The sequence below is a fragment of the Homo sapiens genome, chromosome 2 (assembly GCF_000001405.40).
Source record: "Homo sapiens chromosome 2, GRCh38.p14 Primary Assembly".
Lineage (NCBI taxonomy): Eukaryota > Metazoa > Chordata > Mammalia > Primates > Hominidae > Homo > Homo sapiens.
The window spans coordinates 59,241,678-59,263,708 of NC_000002.12; the positions used below are offsets into that span (position 1 = coordinate 59,241,678).

At 37.0% G+C, this 22,031-nt stretch overlaps 2 long non-coding RNA genes across 7 annotated transcripts in view, besides 1 other annotated feature; one reads left to right on the forward strand and one right to left on the reverse strand.

Moving 5' to 3' along the window:
• The window catches only part of LINC01793 (long intergenic non-protein coding RNA 1793), a 61,693-nt gene that overhangs the window by 23,970 nt on the left and 15,692 nt on the right, over nt 1-22,031 (forward strand). The window contains exon 2 of the long non-coding RNA NR_110219.1: nt 13,486-13,585. This is a non-coding gene — a long non-coding RNA (long intergenic non-protein coding RNA 1793). The remainder of the gene's footprint in view (nt 1-13,485; nt 13,586-22,031) is intronic.
• The window catches only part of LOC105374754 (uncharacterized), a 150,795-nt gene that overhangs the window by 2,964 nt on the left and 125,800 nt on the right, over nt 1-22,031 (reverse strand). For 3 of the 6 annotated variants that reach the window (XR_940130.3, XR_940128.3, XR_940131.3), the window contains 2 exons: nt 7,812-8,016; nt 7,432-7,488 (listed from right to left, as the gene is read on the reverse strand). This is a non-coding gene — a long non-coding RNA (uncharacterized LOC105374754). The remainder of the gene's footprint in view (nt 1-7,431; nt 7,489-7,811; nt 8,017-22,031) is intronic. The other 3 variants (XR_002959389.2, XR_940129.3, XR_940127.3) reach the window with 1 other exon arrangement.
• Nucleotides 7,792-9,143: an enhancer, noted in NCBI's record as "VISTA enhancer hs1119". NCBI's record gives its function as "enhancer in: neural tube[6/6] | hindbrain (rhombencephalon)[5/6]" and the evidence as "EXISTENCE:transgenic organism evidence [ECO:0001131][PMID:17130149]".

Here is a 22,031-nt window from a genome sequence, read left to right on the forward strand (position 1 = left end):
TAGGGCCCCAGAATCTGCATTTGTATAAAAGCTCACCGATGCTACTGATGCTGCTGTTCCAAGGACCACACTTTGAGAAACACTGCTCTTTATATAGAAGCAATGTTCAGTGTATGCTATTGACTGAAAAATCTTTATGTTCACCTGTATAAAAAAAGATAAGAGTTGGAGAACAAAATAATATTGGCAGGTACCAGCTGCTCAATAAATATTTTTGATCGATTGAGTTGAGGATTGATGTTACTCTCCATTTGCTTATATTGCTCAAAACAAATTATGAAGTTGAGTAAATTCCAAAACTTTTTTCTCTGTCAGCCATATCCCAGGCTGTGTTCAAATATCATTATCTAATATTTTTAAACCTTAGTTTTCTCAGTTTTAAATTGGGGGAAGTAGGGATATTGTGGAGGAGTAAATAAAATAACTTTTGTTACAGTTCTTCTTAGCAGCGTGCTGTAGTGTAAACATACTCCTTTGTCTTACATAGCTATTGGTGAAAATACGTTTGCCAACTGGGAGGGGCCCTTCTTCTCTTTGAAATGAATTGGGAGGCATTCTTTAAGAAGTGCATCTTAAATTATGCCTCAGTATCCAATGATCTAAATGTGAAGAAATCTACAGGTAGCCTGTTTACTAATATGATTCCATGTGAAAAAGAGCATAGAAATCCTCTGTACTAAAAAATATTTCTATTAGAACATTTGAAGGAATTAATCAGTTTGTTTTAATTTATGGGGAATCACTAAATGGTTTAATGGGCTAGCACATAATGAATAAATAATGGAAAACCTTCAAAATCAGGACACTAAGTGGCCCAGATGTTCATCAGCTGTTTTGTAAGCATATACACCTGTGGCTTAGTATTCAAAAGTTAAGAATATTTATGTTAGTTTTCTAACAAAAATATCTTTAAAAAAATTTAAATATAAGTAAATAAAAAGAAAGCAATATGAAAAAAAAATTCGGAATAGATTTACATTCCTTGATAGTCTTTGGGTCAGATGCTTATACCTTTGGTTCTTTATATAAATAAAAATAAAGGATTCTTATTTTCCAGATAAGTTTTTATCTCCACATGAAATTAGAAGTAGATGACTCAGTTCTAGGTAACAAATATATTATTTACATATTTATTTTAACTTATATGAAAATTTACAGAGTTCTTACTATGTTCCTGGTGTTATTTTAAGTGCTTTATGAATATGAAGTCATTTAATCCTCATACCCCACGAGATGGGTATAATTGGTATCACCCCCATTTAACAATTAAGAAAACTGAGGCACAAATAAATTAAGAAAATTGCCTATAGTCACATAGCTAGTAAACAGCATAGCAAGGATTTGAACCTAGGTGATCTGGGACTGTGTTCCTGCTCATCCTACACTACTGTCCCAGCGACCCCAGTGACAAATACTGGACTGGGCGATGTGATGCGATGTATAAGTGGCACACCTTCGTGGAATTTACAGTCTCACTGGGATTACAAACACAACAGCATTCGTTAAAATTCAAGTGCTAAAGGACAAGTGCCAATATTTATGGTGTGTAGACAGAGGCCACAAACTAGAGAGCCCAAGATAAAATCTGGCTTGTGGATATGTTTTGTTTGGCTCATACAACATTTTGAAATTTTTGAGCTAATGGCTTACAATGAAAAATTATATAAATATTCCAGATTTTTAGTCATTAAAAAACACACAAAACTTAAACATTCACTGTGCCCAAATTTGGCATGAAACAAACAGATGGCACTAAATTCTCTCCTATTTGCTCCAGTCTCTGACATTCACACAATGTATATGTATGCATTTTTATCAGATGCATGCCATTCATTTATTTTTCTTGCTGAGTTCCTGAGTTGACCCATATATGTGTCCTGAGAAAGGGGTGTTGGATGTCCGGGGGACAGCTATTGCCTGGAATACTTGTAGAAGTTTCAGGAAGAAAAGTTATTTGCACTAAACTTCAAAAGAGGAGGACAGGTGGTTGTAACAAGATTGCAGTGAGCCTTCTGATTCTTTCTGACACCCTAGAGTGTATCTATACAAAACAACTCTTCTAAATTCAGCCAAAATAATGAGTAGATGTTGCAGTGTTCTGACACTTACTTTTGTAGTGGCTACCATTTGACTAGCCAAAATATTCTTGCCTCATTGTTTATTCACTGTAGTAGTATTGCTAGTCTCACTTCTCTGAATTAGAAAGAAAGCTCCTTCTAAGAAACACACTACACAGAGACAGGGATCTGTTTGTCTTGATCAATACTAAACTTCTAGAACCTAGTGCTGTGTCTGGAATGTTGTAAGAGCTCAATAATGTTCTAGGAAAAAAAGACAACTGAGAAAGACAAAATAAAAAGAAAGAAGAAAGGGGAAAGGAAAGAAGGAAGGAGAGGGAGGGAGGGAGAAAGGAAGGAAGGGAGGGAAAGAGAGAGAGAAAGAGAAAACAAAGCAAGGCATCTGATGACTTCTCTGCGAGTTCTCTTCCTCACTAAGTGTTAGTAATGGCCATTGCCGATATACATCCAGGAATAATAGTACAGGAACTTCGTGGGAATTTTCAGACTGTACAAGCTCTTTCTATGTTTGGTAAAGGTCAAATTTGTAACTCGTTTAAAGAATCAGGTAGAGCCGTGATTTATCAAAGTATATTCCCTAGATGGCCCACATTGGGAAGGCATGCTTGCTGTGAATGTAGACTCCCATGCTCCCCCAACCCTCCATGATCTAATGGCACACAGGAATTATGTATTTGTGCATGCCAGGTAATTCCTTTGCACCTTCAATTTTGCACACCAAATTTTGGTGGAAGTACCCTTAGGTGGAGAAGGTCTTAGCAACCTGTAATTTGAGCCTGCAATCACAAGGTTCACACAATCTGATTAAATTCAGTTGAGTTGAAAATTATACAGTTAATTTTGAATAGATGCTACATCAATCTGACACTTCTTGATTAAGCTGAATTTTTACCTGACTGGTGGGTGCTTTAGTTAATATAAGTTTATGTGCTGCCATGTATCTGCCAAAGTGTCACTAAAATTCTCTAGACACAGAATTTGGGAATTGGTTGTTTTATTTATTCATTTGTTATTATTTTAACTAGGTTGATTTAATTACGAAGTATGCAAACTACAAAAGTAACAAAATTCTATTTTGTTTGGTTGATACTGTGGTTTAAACAAGTGAATTTAGGCTGGGCGCTATGGCTCACGCCTGTAATGTCAGCACTTTGAGAGGTCTAGGGGAGGGTGGATCACTTGAGCTCAGGAATTCGAGACCAGCCTGGCCAACATGGTCAAGCCCCATCTCTACTAAAAATATAAAAATTGGCTGGGCATAGTGGTGTGTGCCTGTAATCTCATCTACCTGGGAGGCTGAGGAATGAGAATCGCTTGAACCTGGGAAGCAGAGGTTGCAGTGAACCGAGATTGTGCCACTGCACTGCAGCCTGGGTGACAGAGTGAGATTCTGTCTCAAAAATAAATAAATATGAGATGAAAAAAAAAAAAGAATGAATTTAGACGTCCTTATGAACATGCTCTGCCCAGTTTGGCCACAGGCTCCATCACTTCCCATTATATTTCACCAGGTTGTATTACACACTGATGGTACTAGCTCAAGTATTTGGGCTTGCAACCTCAAAAACCAAAATAAAACAAAACAAAATAATGAGCTGACAGCTCTACTCTACTCTGTATGGGATCCCAAATCCAACCATCCCTCACCACCTCCACTACCACCACCCTAGCCCAAGCTATTATTATCTCTCACCTAAAGTAATGTTATAATCTAATTATGGGTCTTTCTGTTTCTCTCACTGTCATAGCTCTATGTTCTCTACACAAAAGCCAGCTCAAACAGCTCATAACCCTCTCATAGCTTCCCATCTCATTGGAATAAAATCCAACAATTTTACCATAGGATTCATGCATGCTGTTTACAAAATATTTATAGGTCTCTGCATAGTGGACACATGGTAGAATTGTGCTCCCTGCCCACACACACCTGTCCCTTCTCTCCTCCTCCGCCATCATTGCATGTGGTTATATGACTAGATCTGGCCAGTGAGTTGTTTGTGGAAGTGCTATGTGTCCTTTCCATGCTGGAACATTAATTGCTGATATGAGATCTTTCAGAGATGTCTTTTCTCTGATAATATGTTTGGCAGTGATTTTGACAGTGGTTTCTCTGCCCATCTGTTTCCTGGGATGAGGATGACACAGTGCAGAGCCTCCAACCTAACTGTGGTAGACATGATGTGAGCAAAAAATAAACCTTTCATGTTTTCAGCCGTTGAGATTCAGGGTTGTTTGTTACCATAGCATAGTCGGGCATATGCTGACTGCTACTCTGACATTTGTCTACAAGGCCTATGTGAGCCAACCTCCACCTATCTCTCTGACTTCATCCCCATCCTCTTTTATCCTCTCCCCTTTTGTTTGGCTCTATTTGCTTTCCTAGTGAATTCCAGCTTTCTGCCCAATACTGGGCCTTTGCACTGTTTATGGATGCATCTTTCCATGTTCTCTTACTTCATCCAGATCTTTGCTCAAAAGTCTCCTTCTTAGGGGGAGCATCCCTGACTACAGATCTAAAACAGCACCCTTTATTATTCTATTCTTATCCTGTTTATTTTTCTCTATGTCTGAGATAGTTTTCCTTTATGATTTTACTTTTTGCTTCTAAAACTGAAGTATAAATTCCTTGAGGGCAGGGACATTTTGTTCACAGGTGTTTTCCCAATAGCATGAGCAATGCCTGGGGTAGATAGTTAATAAATATTAATATTTGATGAATTAATGAGTTATTCATTCTTATCACACAACTATCATTCTTCTCATCCGAAAGTATGGCTTAACATGACCCTCAACATACTCTACAATGTTATGTTATAGTTTCAGAAGTAGAAAGCACAATATATTTTATTTTCTCACCATAATGGTAGGTTAATTCACTTAAATGTTCTCATCTAAGGTGTTAAGAGAAAGCATCCTAACAATAAATAATGCCTTTGAGGCCAATGGGCTTGACCTTTGGGTTTCTCAGGTAGTTTACAGTCTCATAGTTGTTTCTTATGTGAAAATAATTCCAGAAGGAACTATGAGAACTGGCATGCACTGAAAGGCTGCACATACAGTTGAAATCCTTCATTCTTCTCAAAAGTGAATCTGGGTATCATTTATCTTGGAGGCATTGGCAGAGTTTTGCTTGGTCATACAAAGTTTATTGATTCTTTTCTAGCAGCCTTGCTTGAAAATTAATATGGAATTTAAGCAATGACCTCTTCTAGAAATAGTGAACACGTAATTTTTTATGCTGAGCCTTCTGAGCATCTAGTAATGGAGTATGGGTCACACTGAAATAGAAGCTTCACTTTCTAACCTGAATTTTACACAATACAATTTTACTTATAAAAGACAGCACATCTCAGTAAACTCTAGAAATATAAATTTGTGATTTCTTCCTACTTAGAGTCAGCCATACAATACAATTACCATGAGAAGATTGCTTTAAACATGCAATTATAAACATGGCATGATTCTATAAATTACCTGTAATTTATTTATAAATCTGCTGCAAGGGCTAATGTTTAACACATGCAGATATTTTTTTATGCTCCTTTTCCCTTCAGTTCTGTCATATCATTAGATAAATATACTTAATGAGGGTTTATTATGGAAATAAAATAATCTAAACAGTATTATATGGTCTACCGTATTATGAAAGAGTGATTTTAAAAGCCTATTAAAGTCCCTGCTTAGGCTTGTCCAAGTTAGCATAAGTGAGGAATGATAACCTAGAAGAAAATTCCTATTTTGATTATTCAATCAAGTATATTCTCTTGTATTATTCAATCAAATCTGCAGTTTTCTCTTTCTGCTACTCGATGTCTATAAGTTACATTCAGATAAAACCATAAAAGTCAAGAGACTAATTTCTTCTTCATGGTCTGTCTATGGTATTAAAAAGACCAGGTTTTGAGTCAACTTTTTCACCCACCAAAAACACAGGAGAGAAACACATATCCCTTACAAAAGACTACTGTAAGTTCTAAGCATCAATTCGCTTTTTAAAAAGAAATATGTTAAGTATTAAATATTTGTAGCTAGATTTTGCAAGTTCTGTATATAGCAGGAAAATTTGTTGTGATATTATAGTCAAAGAGATATACTTTAACCTTGCTGACAATGAAATGCTTCCATTTTGATTCGTAAAATGGGATTCCCCTAGTAAGTGAGACACAGAGGGTAATTCATGACATTTTTGGATCACAGAAAGGTCTTTCTTACATATCTAATCCCAATCCATGTGACAAAATTTACCCACTCTACTGTGCCCTCCAAAGAAAACAAACATTAATCAAGCTCTCCCCACTAAATCTCCCCAGAACTTGAGTTCTGGGGTCCTACCCTAATCATCTTTAGATCCTTAGTACCCAACTGCACCCTTCACCCACTAACTAACTATTTGAGGTATTCTATATATAATGATAACACAAGTAAGCTAGCACCAGAAAGGTGTTAAAACAAATGTAAAGGAGAACTCAAAACAATTCTACCAGGATCCCACACAGTATGTATGCATTTACATGTACAAATAGAAATGACTGGAGAAAAGTAAGGAAAACGCGATGTTGGAAATGCTGTATCTTTCTACATAAGTAACACTGATATGTGTATCGTCCACAAGGTATTAGGTACCCCATAGTTACAGCATCTGGACAGGCGACTGTATTTTTCTGTTACTTTTCTCATAGTCTTCAAAGGGCAACCTAGCACAACAGTTTTCAAGAAAACTCCCTCCTCCTTTTTTTATTTTTAATCTTTTTTTAAAGGCAAATGCTGCACTACCTCCCCCGAAATAAATTATACTAACAAACAATTTCAACAACCTCAATATATGAAAAAGATAAAAGTAAAGGTGGAAGAGTCACTGTGCTGATTTCTTTTTACATACCGCATATGGCAGCCATCATGGCAATGTTTAAGGCCATTACAGAGAACTCGAGGGCTCCTAGTTAGAAAAGCAGTGACCCAGATCCATAGGAAATAGATATTTTTCAATTGCACTAGACAGATGCATATATATCGATGTTGCATTCACTAAATAAATATATAAAGATATAAATTGACTATATATGTATATATATACACACATATACTCACACACACATATATATATATCTATATGATAGAGACCATAATTTGGTTCCATATTGTGATTGTGGAAAACAAGTGGTGATATATTTTTCCTCTATTGGACATATTTTCAGAATCATGCCTGGGGATTTATATGCATACCCTGTGCCATTTATAACAGTGCTGCAAATAACGAGGATTATGCTCATTAGCAAACATTGCCACTTTTTTGAAGGGGATGCTAGGCAGACATGGCTGAAATGAAAGTCTTTTTTAGACAGAAGCGACAAACCTGGAAATAGGAATCTATATCTTGGTCCTGTGACTGTTTAGTGCAGTGTTTCATGAGCTAAAAAAGAGAGAGAGAGCACAAGAGAGAAAAATGGTGCTTTGTATAATATCTTACAAGCACCGCAAAGAAATCTGATGTTCATCTTAAACAGGCATAGCTATGATTTTGCCATCTAGTTTCTCAAAAATATTCACTGTATCTAAAGAACTTCTATCTTGAAAAAGGGGAAAGGGGAACTTAACCAAACGTTCTTTTGAAAAATCTTTTCTCTCTACTGGCAAGTTTGGACAAATAATTGACATGAAGAGAAGATAGCTTTTTGTAAGAAATTAAAACTTCGTTATTAAGTTGCCCTTCAATTTTCTCAATCCCCATTTTACCCCATTTTCTCATCTGTGTAGCCTGTGTTGCGTTTGCGGTTGTTTTTCTTAAGGATAATTTTTGCTTCTAAATACTGAGAAAGAATAATCAGGTGCTTGAGAAGTGGTGTCTCTGCTCATCTCCCCACACGTGACTGCTTTCTGTCTGGTGCTTTGTCATGGTGCCTCCAGAACAGACTTCCTCAGCTTCCTTTGTTATCCTCTCCTGATAAATAAACAGCACAAAATTACCGAACTTATTATGGTAATTGAGAGAAGGGAACGGAATGCCGAGCCTGCCCCGCTATCTGTTACGCTGCCATTGCAAAAGTTGGGCAAACCTGTGCCAAACCTCAGCTGATAGTGTAACATCAGCCCCTCTCCTATGCGCCCCCCTTTATTGCCGTAGCCCCCCACCCTCCACGATGATTGCTTTCTGTCCATCTTGAGCTGGGTGTCACTTCGTTTAGATTTACATCAAGTAGTAAATTAAAATAATCACTCAGCAAACACTCTGAGCTCAGTTTTCTCTTTCAGTCAGGAGTTGTGCGAGCTGCTCGAAGCATTCAAGCAGAAAATATTGCTGTCTAGATATTTGTCCTCTGGGTGATAAAGGAGGCATTGTCTTGGGACCCACTCAGGCCTCGGAGCCGATCGTCGCTGTGCATCACAGCTGTGAAGTGCGCTTTGTTATGTGTCTGAGGATTCGGGTTCAGGACCTTGTTTTTCTTGAAATACCAGACTGATCAGAGCTGCATATGTTCGGGGGAAATCAGGGGTCGGTGGTTCTCTGTCCACATTTTTACTAGATTATTCTTGGACAGAACTCTGGGAAAATACCCTGCAGCATAAACCATCCCAAGAGTTTTGCTTTGTTTTAATTCATTTTCTTTCTTTCTCTTTCTTGCATCTTTATTTTTTTTCCCTCCATATTCTGCATTGTTACAGTCCTGGAAAATGCTGGAGTTTATCTGCATGAGTCAGAAACAAAGGCTTACGGCATTGCTGCTTCCTTTTGCTTTGAACCTGGTGCCATAATGTACTGAGTTATAAACCTGCTTCTTTGTGTTCTCATTACAGTACATCTATCTGCCCATTTGGAAATCAAAATGCAGAGTTCAGTCACCTGGGATGAAATATAGAGTGGGCTAAAGAGGCTTTTCACCATTTGCAAATGATCAGTGAGATCTTGAAACAAAACAAGGAGTTGATAGGAGAAAACAAATCGGAAATTTTGCTCTGAATGAGAATTTTTTTAAAAAGATAATTATCACTTGTAAATCTTAAAGTCATCACATTTTTATTTCAGCTATTTTGTAGGTATGCTATTGCTAAGAGTGTGAAGAAGTGAAATATTTGTTACTCTAAGTAGTGACAGAAAAACATTAAATGTTAAGGAACATGGTTGCAGGCGTAGGAATGAAAATTGAAATTTTTAGTCAATTATCTAAATTTTTACAAATAGTTCTGCATGCTTGGCTTATTGACTACTCTTATCAATTTTTGGCTAGAAATTTGGCATCGTGCTATATTTAAGCCAAGCTAGCTACAGTGAATGTGCTATTTGATATATTCCTTATGTCTGTGCTCTGGCTAAATATACATTTTTCAATTATAAAATTCTCCATTCCTACATAGAAAGAACATTACTATTATAAGCCAAAAAGAAATAAAGGAATGGGATGGACATGTATGTATTACAGGCACATATATATGGTCATGTGCATGATGTACTCATGAATGAATGATTTCATGTTCTTGAATTAAATGAGTTCCCCTTAGGGATGTTTTCATGGTGACCCCACTGCAACCAGCTGCAAAGCTTACCCTTTCGACCACTGTATCTATAGGAACCAGAGGTGCCATTAAAACCAGCAATGCTAAGTCCTTAGATTATGCCAATGAAAATAAATTTATTCACCAGAGTAAAATCACAGATGGCTTCCAGTCATATATTGTGGTTTGTGATGTTTTATGTCCAAGTCCCAATTTAGTTCATAAATATAGGTAAAAGGAACCAAACTAGAAAATTTGGTTCTGATTTTCCTGGGCTCCAGAGCCAGAGTCTTATTTAATTCCCCTGTCTGTCACTGATAGCTGAGTAACCTTGAGTAAATTACCTAGTCACTCTGATACCTCAATTTTTCCATCTGTGCTTTGGAAATATTATTAATAGGCACCTCATAAGTAAGTTTGTTAAAATTGTTTAATGAATATTAAACATATTAAATGCTTAGAATGATGTCTGGCACATAGCTAATATTCAAAAAATATTTTATTAGTGATAATGATGATGATAATAATGATAATAATTTCTACAACAAGAAAAAAGGTAACACTTATCTAGGAAACACAACTAAGGTGGAATAATAGATTTGTCCTACTCTTCCAAGGTTGGTATACACATTAATATTAGGTTGTCCTGGGGCTGGGTGAGGTGGCTCACACCTGTAATCCCAGCACTTTGGGAGGCCGAGGCGGGTGGATCACCTGAGGTCAGGAGTTTGAGACCAACCTAACCAACATGGTGAAAACCCATCTCTACAAAAAATAAAAAAATTAGCTGGGTGTAGTGGCACGTGCCTGTAGTCCCAGCTACTCGGGAGGCTGAGGCATGAGAATCACCTGAACCCAGGAGGCAGAGGTTGCAGTGAGCCAAGATCGTGCGGCTGCACTCCAGCCAGGGTGACAGAGTGAGACCCCCATCTCAGAAACAAAAACAAACAAACAAACAAACAAACAAAAATTAGGTTGTCCAGAATAAGAGTCACCGTTTAACCATTTACTAACTGTGTGCATAGGCAAATTATTTTATTTTCTATGTAATAAGATAATAACCGGTTACTGTGGCTGTTGTAAAGATGAAAATAGACCGTACACATCACTTGCTTAGTACCTTGTGTGGCCAGAAGGGCTGCTCCTAAGTTGTGTTATTCTCCAGGCCAAAAATTAAAAAAGGTCTCCTTTTTTATAACCAGTTTGATTTAAAATAATATTACAAACCTCAAGAGCCAGTTATTAAAAATTTAGAGAAAAGGGTAGAGAAGAAAATCTTACATATTTTTTCTTGTGTAATTAACGTGTGTGAAAGCTTTTCAGTGTCCAGGCACCATCTGTTCAGGTGCAAGAAACTTCTCTTTATGTTTTTTCTTTTACTTTTTGATTTTCAGAATTACCGGGTCTGACTAAATCACAACTCCCACTGTGAAAAAAGCTAGCAATGCTGATATTACTTACTCTGCCATGACTCTTCAGAACTTGTATATATTGATATAATATTGATGATCTTGCTTCTGAGCTTCCCTAGTACCATTTTGTAAAAGTCTAGTTATAATAGGACTTGTGTCACTTCATCATCCATTGCACTGTTTGTAGATATTGGTTTCCAGTAATTCTCTCAAAGGCTGTTTTTGTGCTTCATTGATGATGACCACGATTGTAAGTCTTACCCAGAGGATGCAGAAAATGTGAGGAATAACTTATTCCCTGATCATGTTAAGTTTACCGTTCAGAATTCTATAGCATACAAATAGAAACAATATATCTTCCAACCATGCTTTCTCATGAACTAATTGGGCTGTAACATTGCATTCCTAGAATGTGATCTCTTTCAATGTTGTCTGCATCCGTACCTTCCACTCACTTCCACTAGCTAGAAGGGTAGAAAAGGAGGAAGGCACTAAGTGAGAAAAATGGTCCTATTTGTACAAAAAAGTCTGTCCTTTGACCAGCATGGCCTAAATCTATCCAGAATTTCATGATGTGACCACATCAATTGGAGGCAATAAAGAACATTAATGGGAAGGCCCCCTTACTGTGTGGAGCAGTGGTCTTGGAAGCCTCAGGGGAGATAGTTGCAGCCACCTGGTAGATTGTCTAAATATGGTACAGAGCCTGCAGAAGGAATAGGATGACTGTTCTGGATGCCAACAGTAACGGTCCCATGAGTAAGTGATGTCTGGGGTTACCTCCACTCCCTCAGGTGCTGTAGCCTGAAGCCAGCACTGTGATTGGTCAGAACATGGGTGGATAAGCATGGATCACACATAGTTCAAGCTCAAGGCTGGCAGTGGACTATAGGTAGTCCAGAGTCCTAAACTCCTTCTGTGTCTGATTTGAAAGTCATACAAAATCAGCATGTCAGCACCATTATGACATGATACTCCTAAAGAAATACTGTACCGGCTAGCAGGAAAAATACATTCACCAGGTCACTTTCCTGGAACCAGATGTCCATGTGGCTTCAGGACAACCCCACAATGATCCCATAGGCTCAAGCTGCAGAGGTCTTGGGGCATCTGGTTGGCCCCATAAGTGCAGAAGTGAAATGGGGTGTCAGAGCACCCCAAAGGAAAAGGATGAGTCAGGACTCACAAGAATCTGTATCTGAGTTCTGTTAGACCTGCTCACATGCTACCTGTGCCCAAAGAGAGACTTAAATAAATTTAAGAAAAATTTGAGACTTAAACATTTTTTGACGAATTGGAGTTTCTTTTAGCGTGGGAAAGAGAAGGAAGGAAAGAATAGGTATACAAAGCAGAGGCAACAGCCTGAGCACAACAGAGTGGAATGCAAATGGTCTAGTTTTTGAGGGAAATGCAGGGGCCAGTAGGGGCACTGAAGTAGGTGCAGATTGAGATTAGAATTGAAACAGAAAAGTTACATGGAGATCAGGTTTTGAAGAGCTTTGAGTACAAATTATATCCCTATATATTTAAGGGGCTTACTTTATGCCAGGCTCTGAGCCTTAGAGACATTATTCCAGGTTTTGGGGGGAGAAGAGTAAATTGTTGAAAGGTTTTCAAGCAACACAGTGATCTGTGTTTTTGAAAGATTCCACTGGTGGAACTTTAAGGGTTGGATAACAGTGGATGAGACCATGAAAAAGGAGATTAAAGAGCTATGATCTTTAATTCATCACTTCTGGAGAGTGATGAAGAGAACCTCAATTAGGATAACAGAATGAGAATGGAGAAGAGGGAAGAATTCATTATTCTTGTAAAGGTAAAGTCAGCAAAATTTGAAGACAATTGAATGGGTGCTGGAGGAATAGACTGGTCACTTAATGTCTCTATAACTATGATATCTGTTCATTAATTTAGTTCATAAAATTTTGTGAAGCGATGTGTCTCCAAGTGCTAGGCCCTGTGTAGGAAATACAGAAGATAGAGGAGTTCTGATCATGATGGGCTTTCAGAGGTGGGAATCACTTCCATGTTAAATATGCAGAGAGCTGGGCCTCTCCCTGAGCAGGCATGGGTTCCAGAGTCCAAGGATTTGTGTTTTTAACAATTGCCCCAAGTAACACTTTTCATCATGAGAGTTTGGGAAATTCTTCACAAAATAATGCATTTGGTTTTGGATGTGTTAAGATAATCTACATAGAGAGAAATTATACATGAATGCAGATATAGGATATTCTACTACATTCACATAAGCATCATAGGCAGAAGATGTTAAAAGGAGGTTTGCTAAGCTACTCTACAAGGTAAAACAAATAGAAGAAGCTAAAACCATAAGGAATAAGCTCTCTGGACAGTGTACCTCTCTGGCACTGAGAAATGGGGCTGGAAACTTCTGCCAATAGAAATGTCTCGTTCGTTGACTGACAGATTGACTCAGCCTCCCACCCAAATCCAGCTTCAGGCTTTAGTATCAATTATGGTGATTGATATTGTGATTTTTTGTTTTACAGTGCAGTGCCTGCTATGAAGCACACACAATGCTTATCTGCTGCTCCATTGGAAAGCCAATAGCAAAGAAGGGAAAGGACCTTCTGATTGGAGAGTGGAGGAGTGAGTTAGAAGATGGTTTTATGTTTACTGCAATGCCCTTTGTCCTCATCAGAACTGTGAAGTGGAATTTGATTTTGATGCACTCTTTAACAAGGATGCTTTGTGTTATCCATGCAATCCCCTACTACTCTGAACCATAACATACACATGCTACATCCCAAAAGCCAGAACCCCCAAAAATGGGTTGTTCCTGGTTTCAGCTTCTAAGATCTAGCTTTCTTTCTCTCAGAGTCTCATTTATCCTTTTCTCCCAAAGGCAAAGCTGTTTTTATCTGATTACTTGATTTCTATGAAAATTTTAGTGCATTTTAATGACTTTGTAGTTTATCTGACCCAGATAACATGCACTTTAATAGGAAACTTTTACAGAGACAGTGTCTTAACCAAAAGAATGACTTAATGACGAAATTTCAGGTAGATGTTTGTTCACATTGAGGGAGGCTAACTAACCAAGTCGAGTAGAGGATGAACAAGGTTTAGGGAACAGTTCTTTTTATAATTTAAATTTTAAAATTTTAATTATAAGCTCTAAATATTAATGCAAGCCATATCAACTTCTTTACTGGACTACTTAGGACATTTAAATGAGATCACATATATAAAGCCCCAGCTCTAAGACTTGGAATTCAATAAACGTCAGTTTTTTCCTTACACCCTCATGCCCATATGGGTGAGTGTGGGTTGCCCTGTAATCTTTTGCTGCATGTTTCTTTTTTTAGATTATTCAGTTAAAAATTCTATTTTATTCGGAAGAGATAAGGCTTAAAGAAGGAACTAGTTTATTTATTGAGTGCCAGGTTGTAGGACTGGGGATTATATATGTATTATCTCACTTAAATGCTGGCAAATAGTCTTGTTAAATAAGTTATAAAAATACAGTAGAAACAGTTGCTACATGGCATGATTAAGGTGGGGATTCTGGAACAATCATCTTAGGGGGTGTGCCATGCTGTTCCTGTGAAAAATAATTAACTTGATGATTATTAGAAACAATAAGACTAGTTTGCCTTAATTTTTTTATACATGGAGAATCTTTAAAAACGGAGGCTTTCTGCTTAGGTACTCTCCAGATTGGCACTCCAATTTTGCCAAATGCTCCTAGTATCTGTTACTCTGACTGAAATAAATATACCATGAATAAAATGCTCAAGTTTCAGAGTATGGATATTATGATATCACTGTAGTGTCTCAGATGCCTTTCCCTTCTTTCACTTTCCTCTTCTTTCACTTTCTCTTGCTCAGGGGTATTCTGAATAGTAGAGGGTTGTCAAAGAACTGTGTGCTGGTGGAATGAAGTTGAGTTACCATGCTTTCCTATTCAACCCTGACTCAAAGTGAATGCATATGCGTGCATTGGAAATGCTGTCACCAGTGTTCTGGCCGTTTGTAGGTATCAAATCACTAACCTTGCCAACGAATAAGTTTGTGAACCTTCTTTTCAGAGGTTCTGTCTCTGATATTTCAGAACCATTCAATTATAATTCTGATGCTTTCTTTTATGTGGCAGTCATGGGTTGTCAGCAAGGATAGAATTAAGAGAGGCACATGAAGTGTGTTACGGCGGCTCATGCCTAAGGATCTCTATTTCTTTTGTTCATGGTGACAAATGACAGCCTTAAAGATATTTGTCCTGATTCCTCACTGTCCCTATGCAGGTAAAAAACTTTCACTGAAGTCAAACAAGCTTCATTGAAGTTAATGGGAAGTAATGCCCTTGAAGGGAAGGGAGAACTAGGGTGATTAATTTTAATTAGCCAAATATAAACAAGCATGTGTCTACAAGTAGTGACAGGAAAGTGGATATCTGTGACTTTTAACTTAGCTTTGGGGAGCTAGGTATGGCCATTTTGTAGAGAATCAGATGAAACTATTTCAACTCAGAAACATAAGAATGCCCATAAAAAATAAAATCCATTTTCCCTAGCTGTATCTCTGAGCTTCACCTTCAATACACTAATTCAACAAAACTCCTAAAATATTACCAATATTACCACACAGCAAACATGTTTCAGGCCTTGGGGAAAGAAAGATGACTACAACTGGAACCCCATATGGGACTCACTTTTAGGTCATGGAAATACCTCAGTAAACAGTTGTGGTACAAGTCATTCGTTAGTGTCTCTATCATTCATTTATTCATTGATTGATTGGTTCATTGAAGAAATATTCGGCACAGACTTTCTAAGTGTTTTGCCTCTGTTCCTATAACAGAGCATGTGCAAAGTACTACTAGAACCAAATGGGATAAAATTCTTGTTTTGCATGACATGGTGAGTTATAATCATGGAAAGATTCTTAGAGAGAGTGTCACTTGAGCTTAGTTTTGCTAGCATTTAGTTAGGCAAAGTAAAAAGGGAAAGATATAAGAATGTGGGAACTATATAATGGAAGGTATTTATTTATTAGGGAAATGCAAATCAAAACCAAATGCAATACCACCTTACTCCCTCAAGAATAGCCATAATGAGAAAATAAAAAAAATAATAGATGTTGGCATGGATATGGTGAAAATGGAACACTTTTACACCATTGGTGGGAATGTAAACTAGTATAACCACTATGGAAAACAGTATGGAGATTCCTTAAATAACTAAAAGTAGATCTACCATTTGATCCAGCAGTCCCACTACTAGGTATTTACCCAGAGGAAAAGAAGTCATTATACGAAAAAGATATTTGCAGAGGCATGTTTATAGTAGCACAATTTGCAATTCCAAAAATATGGAACTAGCCCAAATGTCCATCAATCAATGAGTGGATAAAGAAAACATGGTATAGGCATACCATGGAATACTACTCAGCATAAAACAGAATTAAATAATGGCATTCGCAGCAACTTGGATAGAATTGGAGATTATTATTCTAAGTGAAGTAACTCAGCAATGGAAAACCAAACATCGTATGTTCTTGCTCATAAGTGGGACCTAAGCTACGAGACACAAAGGCATAAGAATGATACAATGGACTCTGGGGATTTGGGGGAATGTGTGCAAGGAGGGTGCGGGATAAAAGACTGCACATTGATTACAGTGTACACTGCTCAGGTGATGGGTGTACTAAAATCTCAGAAATCATCACTAAAGAACTTATCCATGTAGCCAAACAACACCCGCTCCCTAAAAACCTATTGAAATAAATAGAAAACAAATTATAAAAAGGAAAGGTGTGGAAGCACAGAAACTCATAGCATGTTCAGAAAATATTTGAAAATGCTCTAGTGTAAGGGTCAGCAAACTACAGCCCAGAAGCCATATCCAACCCACCATTTGTTTTTGTACAGCCCATGAGCTAAGAATGTTTTGAAATTTTAAATGGCTAGGGGAAAAAATGAAAAATAAGAAGACTATTTCGTGGCATATGAAAATTACATGAAATTTATATTTCGGTTTCCATGAATAAAGTATTATTGAAACACATCAACAATCATTCATATGCATGTTGTCTATGGCTGCCTTTGTGCTACAAAGGCAGAGTTGGGTGGTAGTGACAGAGAATGTATGGCCCACATAGCCTGAAGTATTTACTATTTCCCCCTTAATGGAAAGTTTGCCAAACCTTACTCTAGTGTATGAGGTGCTGGTATATTGAGAAAAAAATTATGAAGGATCTTAAATATTATTTGAGTGAATATAAACATTATCTTGTGTGAACTGGTGAATACAATAGTTGAAGGATTTATCATTATGTTAAAAATTAACATTTTGGTGAACTTATCATTCATTTGATAAAATCCTCCATTCAAATGTAAGTGCCACATGACCATTGAGCCATAGTCAGGTTAGTTAACAAATCTTTACAATTCCTAAAGAGAATTAAAAGGTAGTTCAAGTATGTCTCAAGGCTTATAGGTCAAACAGAAAAAAATGAGTTTTAGGTTTAGAAAATCCCAAAGTGGTCATTTGGCACAGACAGTTTTCTGAGAAGAAAAGTCTGACATGTACCTACTTTATAGCCCAGTAGCTAAAGACTAAAAAAAAAAAAAAGTCATTTTATTTAAGCCATGTTTCCAATATTTTTGAACAAGAATGCTCCCTTTAAGGCCAAAAAAAATTTATAGGCCATTTTGCAACAGTAACAGTTGTACACATGTTGTAAGAAAATGTATAACGAAATCATGCATTTTAAATTAATTTTAATTTAAGACGCTTTTGTATACACAAAAATAGTAGTACAAATGTATGTAAACCTTATGCAATCTTTTGAATAATATTTGGTACGTGTGGTTTTAGAAACTCCTTAAAAAACTAGGGGGAACCAAATGTCCATGTTAAAAAGCCTAGGAGTCAATTGATGTACAATGCCATAGAACTATTTTGACTGAACTTCTTAATTAATTAACTGATTTGCATTTGCTTGTGTGATTCTTTATAGCCTGCTCATATTTGTTTTAAGCCAAAGAAAACCAAGTTTGTTATTAAAAATATCATCAAAACCAAAAAATTTGGTTAATCATATGCTAGGTAATTTCTGGACCTGATTGGATGATTTCTTCTACAATTAATTCCTTGAACAGCTAATTGATTTGTTGCCAGATAAACAGAAAAAGGTCATGCTAAAATCCAGTCATACCACATGCTCCATTTTGGGTTCTGGGACCAACCTATTCACTTACCTTTTATCCAGATAAATTCTAAATTTGACTCAGAGATAACTTACAGAACAGGTCAGAAAATACTAATATCTTTTGCATTGTAAACAACAAAAAAAATGTAGGTAGCTCTCCCTTTTTCAAAGTTTTGTTTTTGTTATTTTTTAAAATATTTAATGGCTTAGGAGATACATGAAAAATGAAAGAAGAAACACACCTTGGCAATAAACTGATAAATTGATGATATCATCAACGCTAATCATGGCACAGAAGCCTTCAACTACAGGATTAAAAAAGCACCACTGAAAATACATTACTCTCTGGCTTTCTCTTCAGAAAACTAGGCTAAATTCAGCTTAAAACTGCATTCGGTGACTCCTTTAACATTTTGACTGAGGGGTGATCTGGAGGTCAGTGTGGAGGTCAGGAGTAGGGCAATGTGATGAAACGTCCATTTCATTGTCAACCATGCATTTGAATGAAGTTCTTTTTTATAGGCGGAGTAAGAACTAAAGGCCAGTAGGGAAAGCCTGGGTTGTCAATTACTGCGTGTTTTATGTCTTGAATCATTGGCCCTAGAACCTGAAGAACTCTTTCTGTCTGTTTGTTAAGAATTGACCCAAGATCCTTTCTCTAACCCCTGAATATGCAGTAAACTTCAGAGTTACTATGTTTTTTATAATTATGATTACTACTCCCAATGTCATTCATTTTACATGTTGCTTTTAACATTTTTATTACCATCACCTCTAATCCACTTGACTTTTCACAATAGTCCTGTATTGGTATTTCCAGTTGACAGATGAAAAACATACTTGGTTGTTTATTTTAAAAGACTAAGGCAGACATTTTCACTATTTCAGCATAGGATATTTCTGTGAGTTCATAAAAATCCAACTGTTCTTAGTTAAATCTCCTTCTAGTATACATCTTGTAGCCAAATAAAACGACTATATTTGGTCACATCATACCCCTACCTGATCAACATACGCCTAGCTGAAAATTAGGTCAAAGATGGACTAATAATAGTTTGCTTGGTTAACAGGAAGTTTTGCCCAAAGAAAATAATATTTTTTATTAATGAATGATGAATCCTAGATGATAAAGGTAAGGAAACTGAATCAAACACATAAAATCAGAAACTCAACAAATATCCATTAGGAACCTTTTATGGACAAGGCATTATGCTAGACACTGAAAGATATATATTAAATAATATAGTGCATTCATCTTCAAGATGTTTTACAAATCCATTGAAAGAAATGTATTAATTTATTGAAGCTCAAAGAGAACCTTGTCACTGAGTCTTCATTCTAATCAAAGCATTATCAGGGGAAAAAAGTCAAAACGATTGCTACATTGAAAGATAAACAGAGACTATATAATAACTATGATAAATATGTAGTTATAATCTTCTCTAAATTAAGCTTAACTGAAAAGTTATGTACTTACAAAGGCCCCAAGTCTTGATCATAAAAGACTCATGGAACCCTATAAAGAGTGCTAAAGATCATTTGGGTAAAACATTTTATTCAAGGCTATATAGTGGAATAAGAACTAGTCACCACCAGGCCTGCCCTAAAAGAGCTCCTGAAGGAAGCACTAAACATGGAAAGGAACAACCAGTACCAGCCACTGCAAAAACATGCCAAATTGTAAGACCGTCAAGGCTAGGAAGAAACTGCATCAACTAACGAGCAAAATAACCAGCTAACATCATAATGACAGGATCAAATTCACACATAACAATACTAACCTTAAATGTAAATGGGCTAAATGCTCCAATTAAAAGACAGACTGGCAAATTTGATAAAGAGTCAAGACCCATCAGTGTGCTGTATTCAGGAAACCCATCGCACATGCAGAGACACACATAAGCTCAAAATAAAGGGATGGAGGAAGATCTACCAAGCAAATGGAAAACCAAAAAAGGCAGGGGTTGCAGTCCTAGTCTTGGATAAAACAGACTTTAAACCAACAAAGAACAAAAGAGACGAAGGCCATTACATAATGGTAAAGGGATCAATTTAACAAGAAGAACTAACTATCCTAAATATATATGCACCCAATACAGGAGCACCCAGGTTCATAAAGCAAGTCCTTCATGACCTACAAAGAGACTTAGACTCACACACAATAATAATGGGAGACTTTAACACCCCACAGTCAACATTAGACAGATCAATGAGACAGAAAGTTAACAAGGATATCCAGGAATTGAACTCAGCTCTGCACCAAGCAGACCTAATAGACATCTACAGAACTCTCCACCCCAAATCAACAGAATATACATTCTTCTCAGCACCACACCATGCCTATTCCAAAATTGACCACATAGTTGGAAGTAAAGCACTCCTCAGCAAATGTAAAAGAACAGAAATTATAACAAACTGTCTCTTAGACCACAGTGCAATCAAACTAGAACTCAGGATTAAGAAACTCACTCAAAACCGCTCAACTACATGGAAACTGAACAACTTGCTCCTGAACAATGACTGGGTACATAATGAAATGAAGGCAGAAATAAAGATGTTCTTTGAAACCAACGAGAACAAAGACACAACATACCAGAATCTCTGGGACACATTCAAAGCAGTGTGTAGCGGGAAATTTATAACACTAAATGCCCAGAAGAGAAAGCAGGAAAGATCTAAAATCGACACCCTAACATCACAATTAAAAGAACTAGAGAAGCAAGAGCAAACACATTCAAAAACTAGCAGAAGACAAGAAATAACTAAGATCAGAGCAGAACTGAAGGAAATAGAGGCACAAAAAACCCTTCAGAAAATCAATGAATCCAGGAGCTGGTTTTTTGAAAAGATCAACAAAATTGATAGACCACTAGCAAGACTAATAAAGAAGAAAACAGGGAAGAATCAAATAGATGCAATAAAAAATGACAAAGGGGATATCACCACCGATCCCACAGAAATACAAACTACCATCAGAGAATACTATAAACACCTCTATGCAAATAAACTAGAAAATCTAGAAGAAATGGATAAATTCCTCGACACATACACCCTCCCAAGACTAAACCAGGAAGAAGTTGAATCTCTGAATAGACCAATAACAGGCTCTGAAATTGAGGCAATAATTAATAGCTTACCAACCAAAAAAAGACCAGGACCAGACGGATTCACAGCCGAATTCTACTAGAGGTACAAGGAGGAGCTGGTACCATTCCTTCTGAAACTATTTCAATCAATAGAAAAAGAGGGAATCCTCCCTAACTCATTTTATGAGGCCAGCATCATCCTGATACCAAAGCCTGGCAGAGACACAACCAAAAAAGAGAATTTTAGACCAATATCCTTGATGAACATCGATTCAAAAATCCTCAGTAAAATACTGGCAAACCAAATCCAGCAACACATCAAAAAGCTTATCCACCATGATCAAGTGGGCTTCACCCCTGGGATGCAAGCCTGGTTCAACATATGAAAATCAATAAACATAATCCAGCATATAAACAGAACCAAAGACAAAAACCACATGATTATTTCAATAGATGCAGAAAACACCTTTGACAAAATTCAACAATCCTTCATGCTAAAAACTCTCAATAAAGTAGGTATTGATGGCATGTATCTCAAAATAATAAGAGCTATCTAGGACAAACCCACAGCCAATATCATACTGAATGGGCAAAAACTGGAAGCATTCCCTTTGAAAACTGGCACAAGACAGGGATGCCCTCTCTCACCACTCCTATTCAACATAGTGTTGGAAGTTCTGGCCAGGGCAATTAGGCAGGAGAAGGAAATAAAGGGCATTCAGTTAGGAAAAGAGGAAGTCAAATTGTCCCTGTTTGCAGATGACATGATTGTATATCTAGAAAACCCCATCATCTCA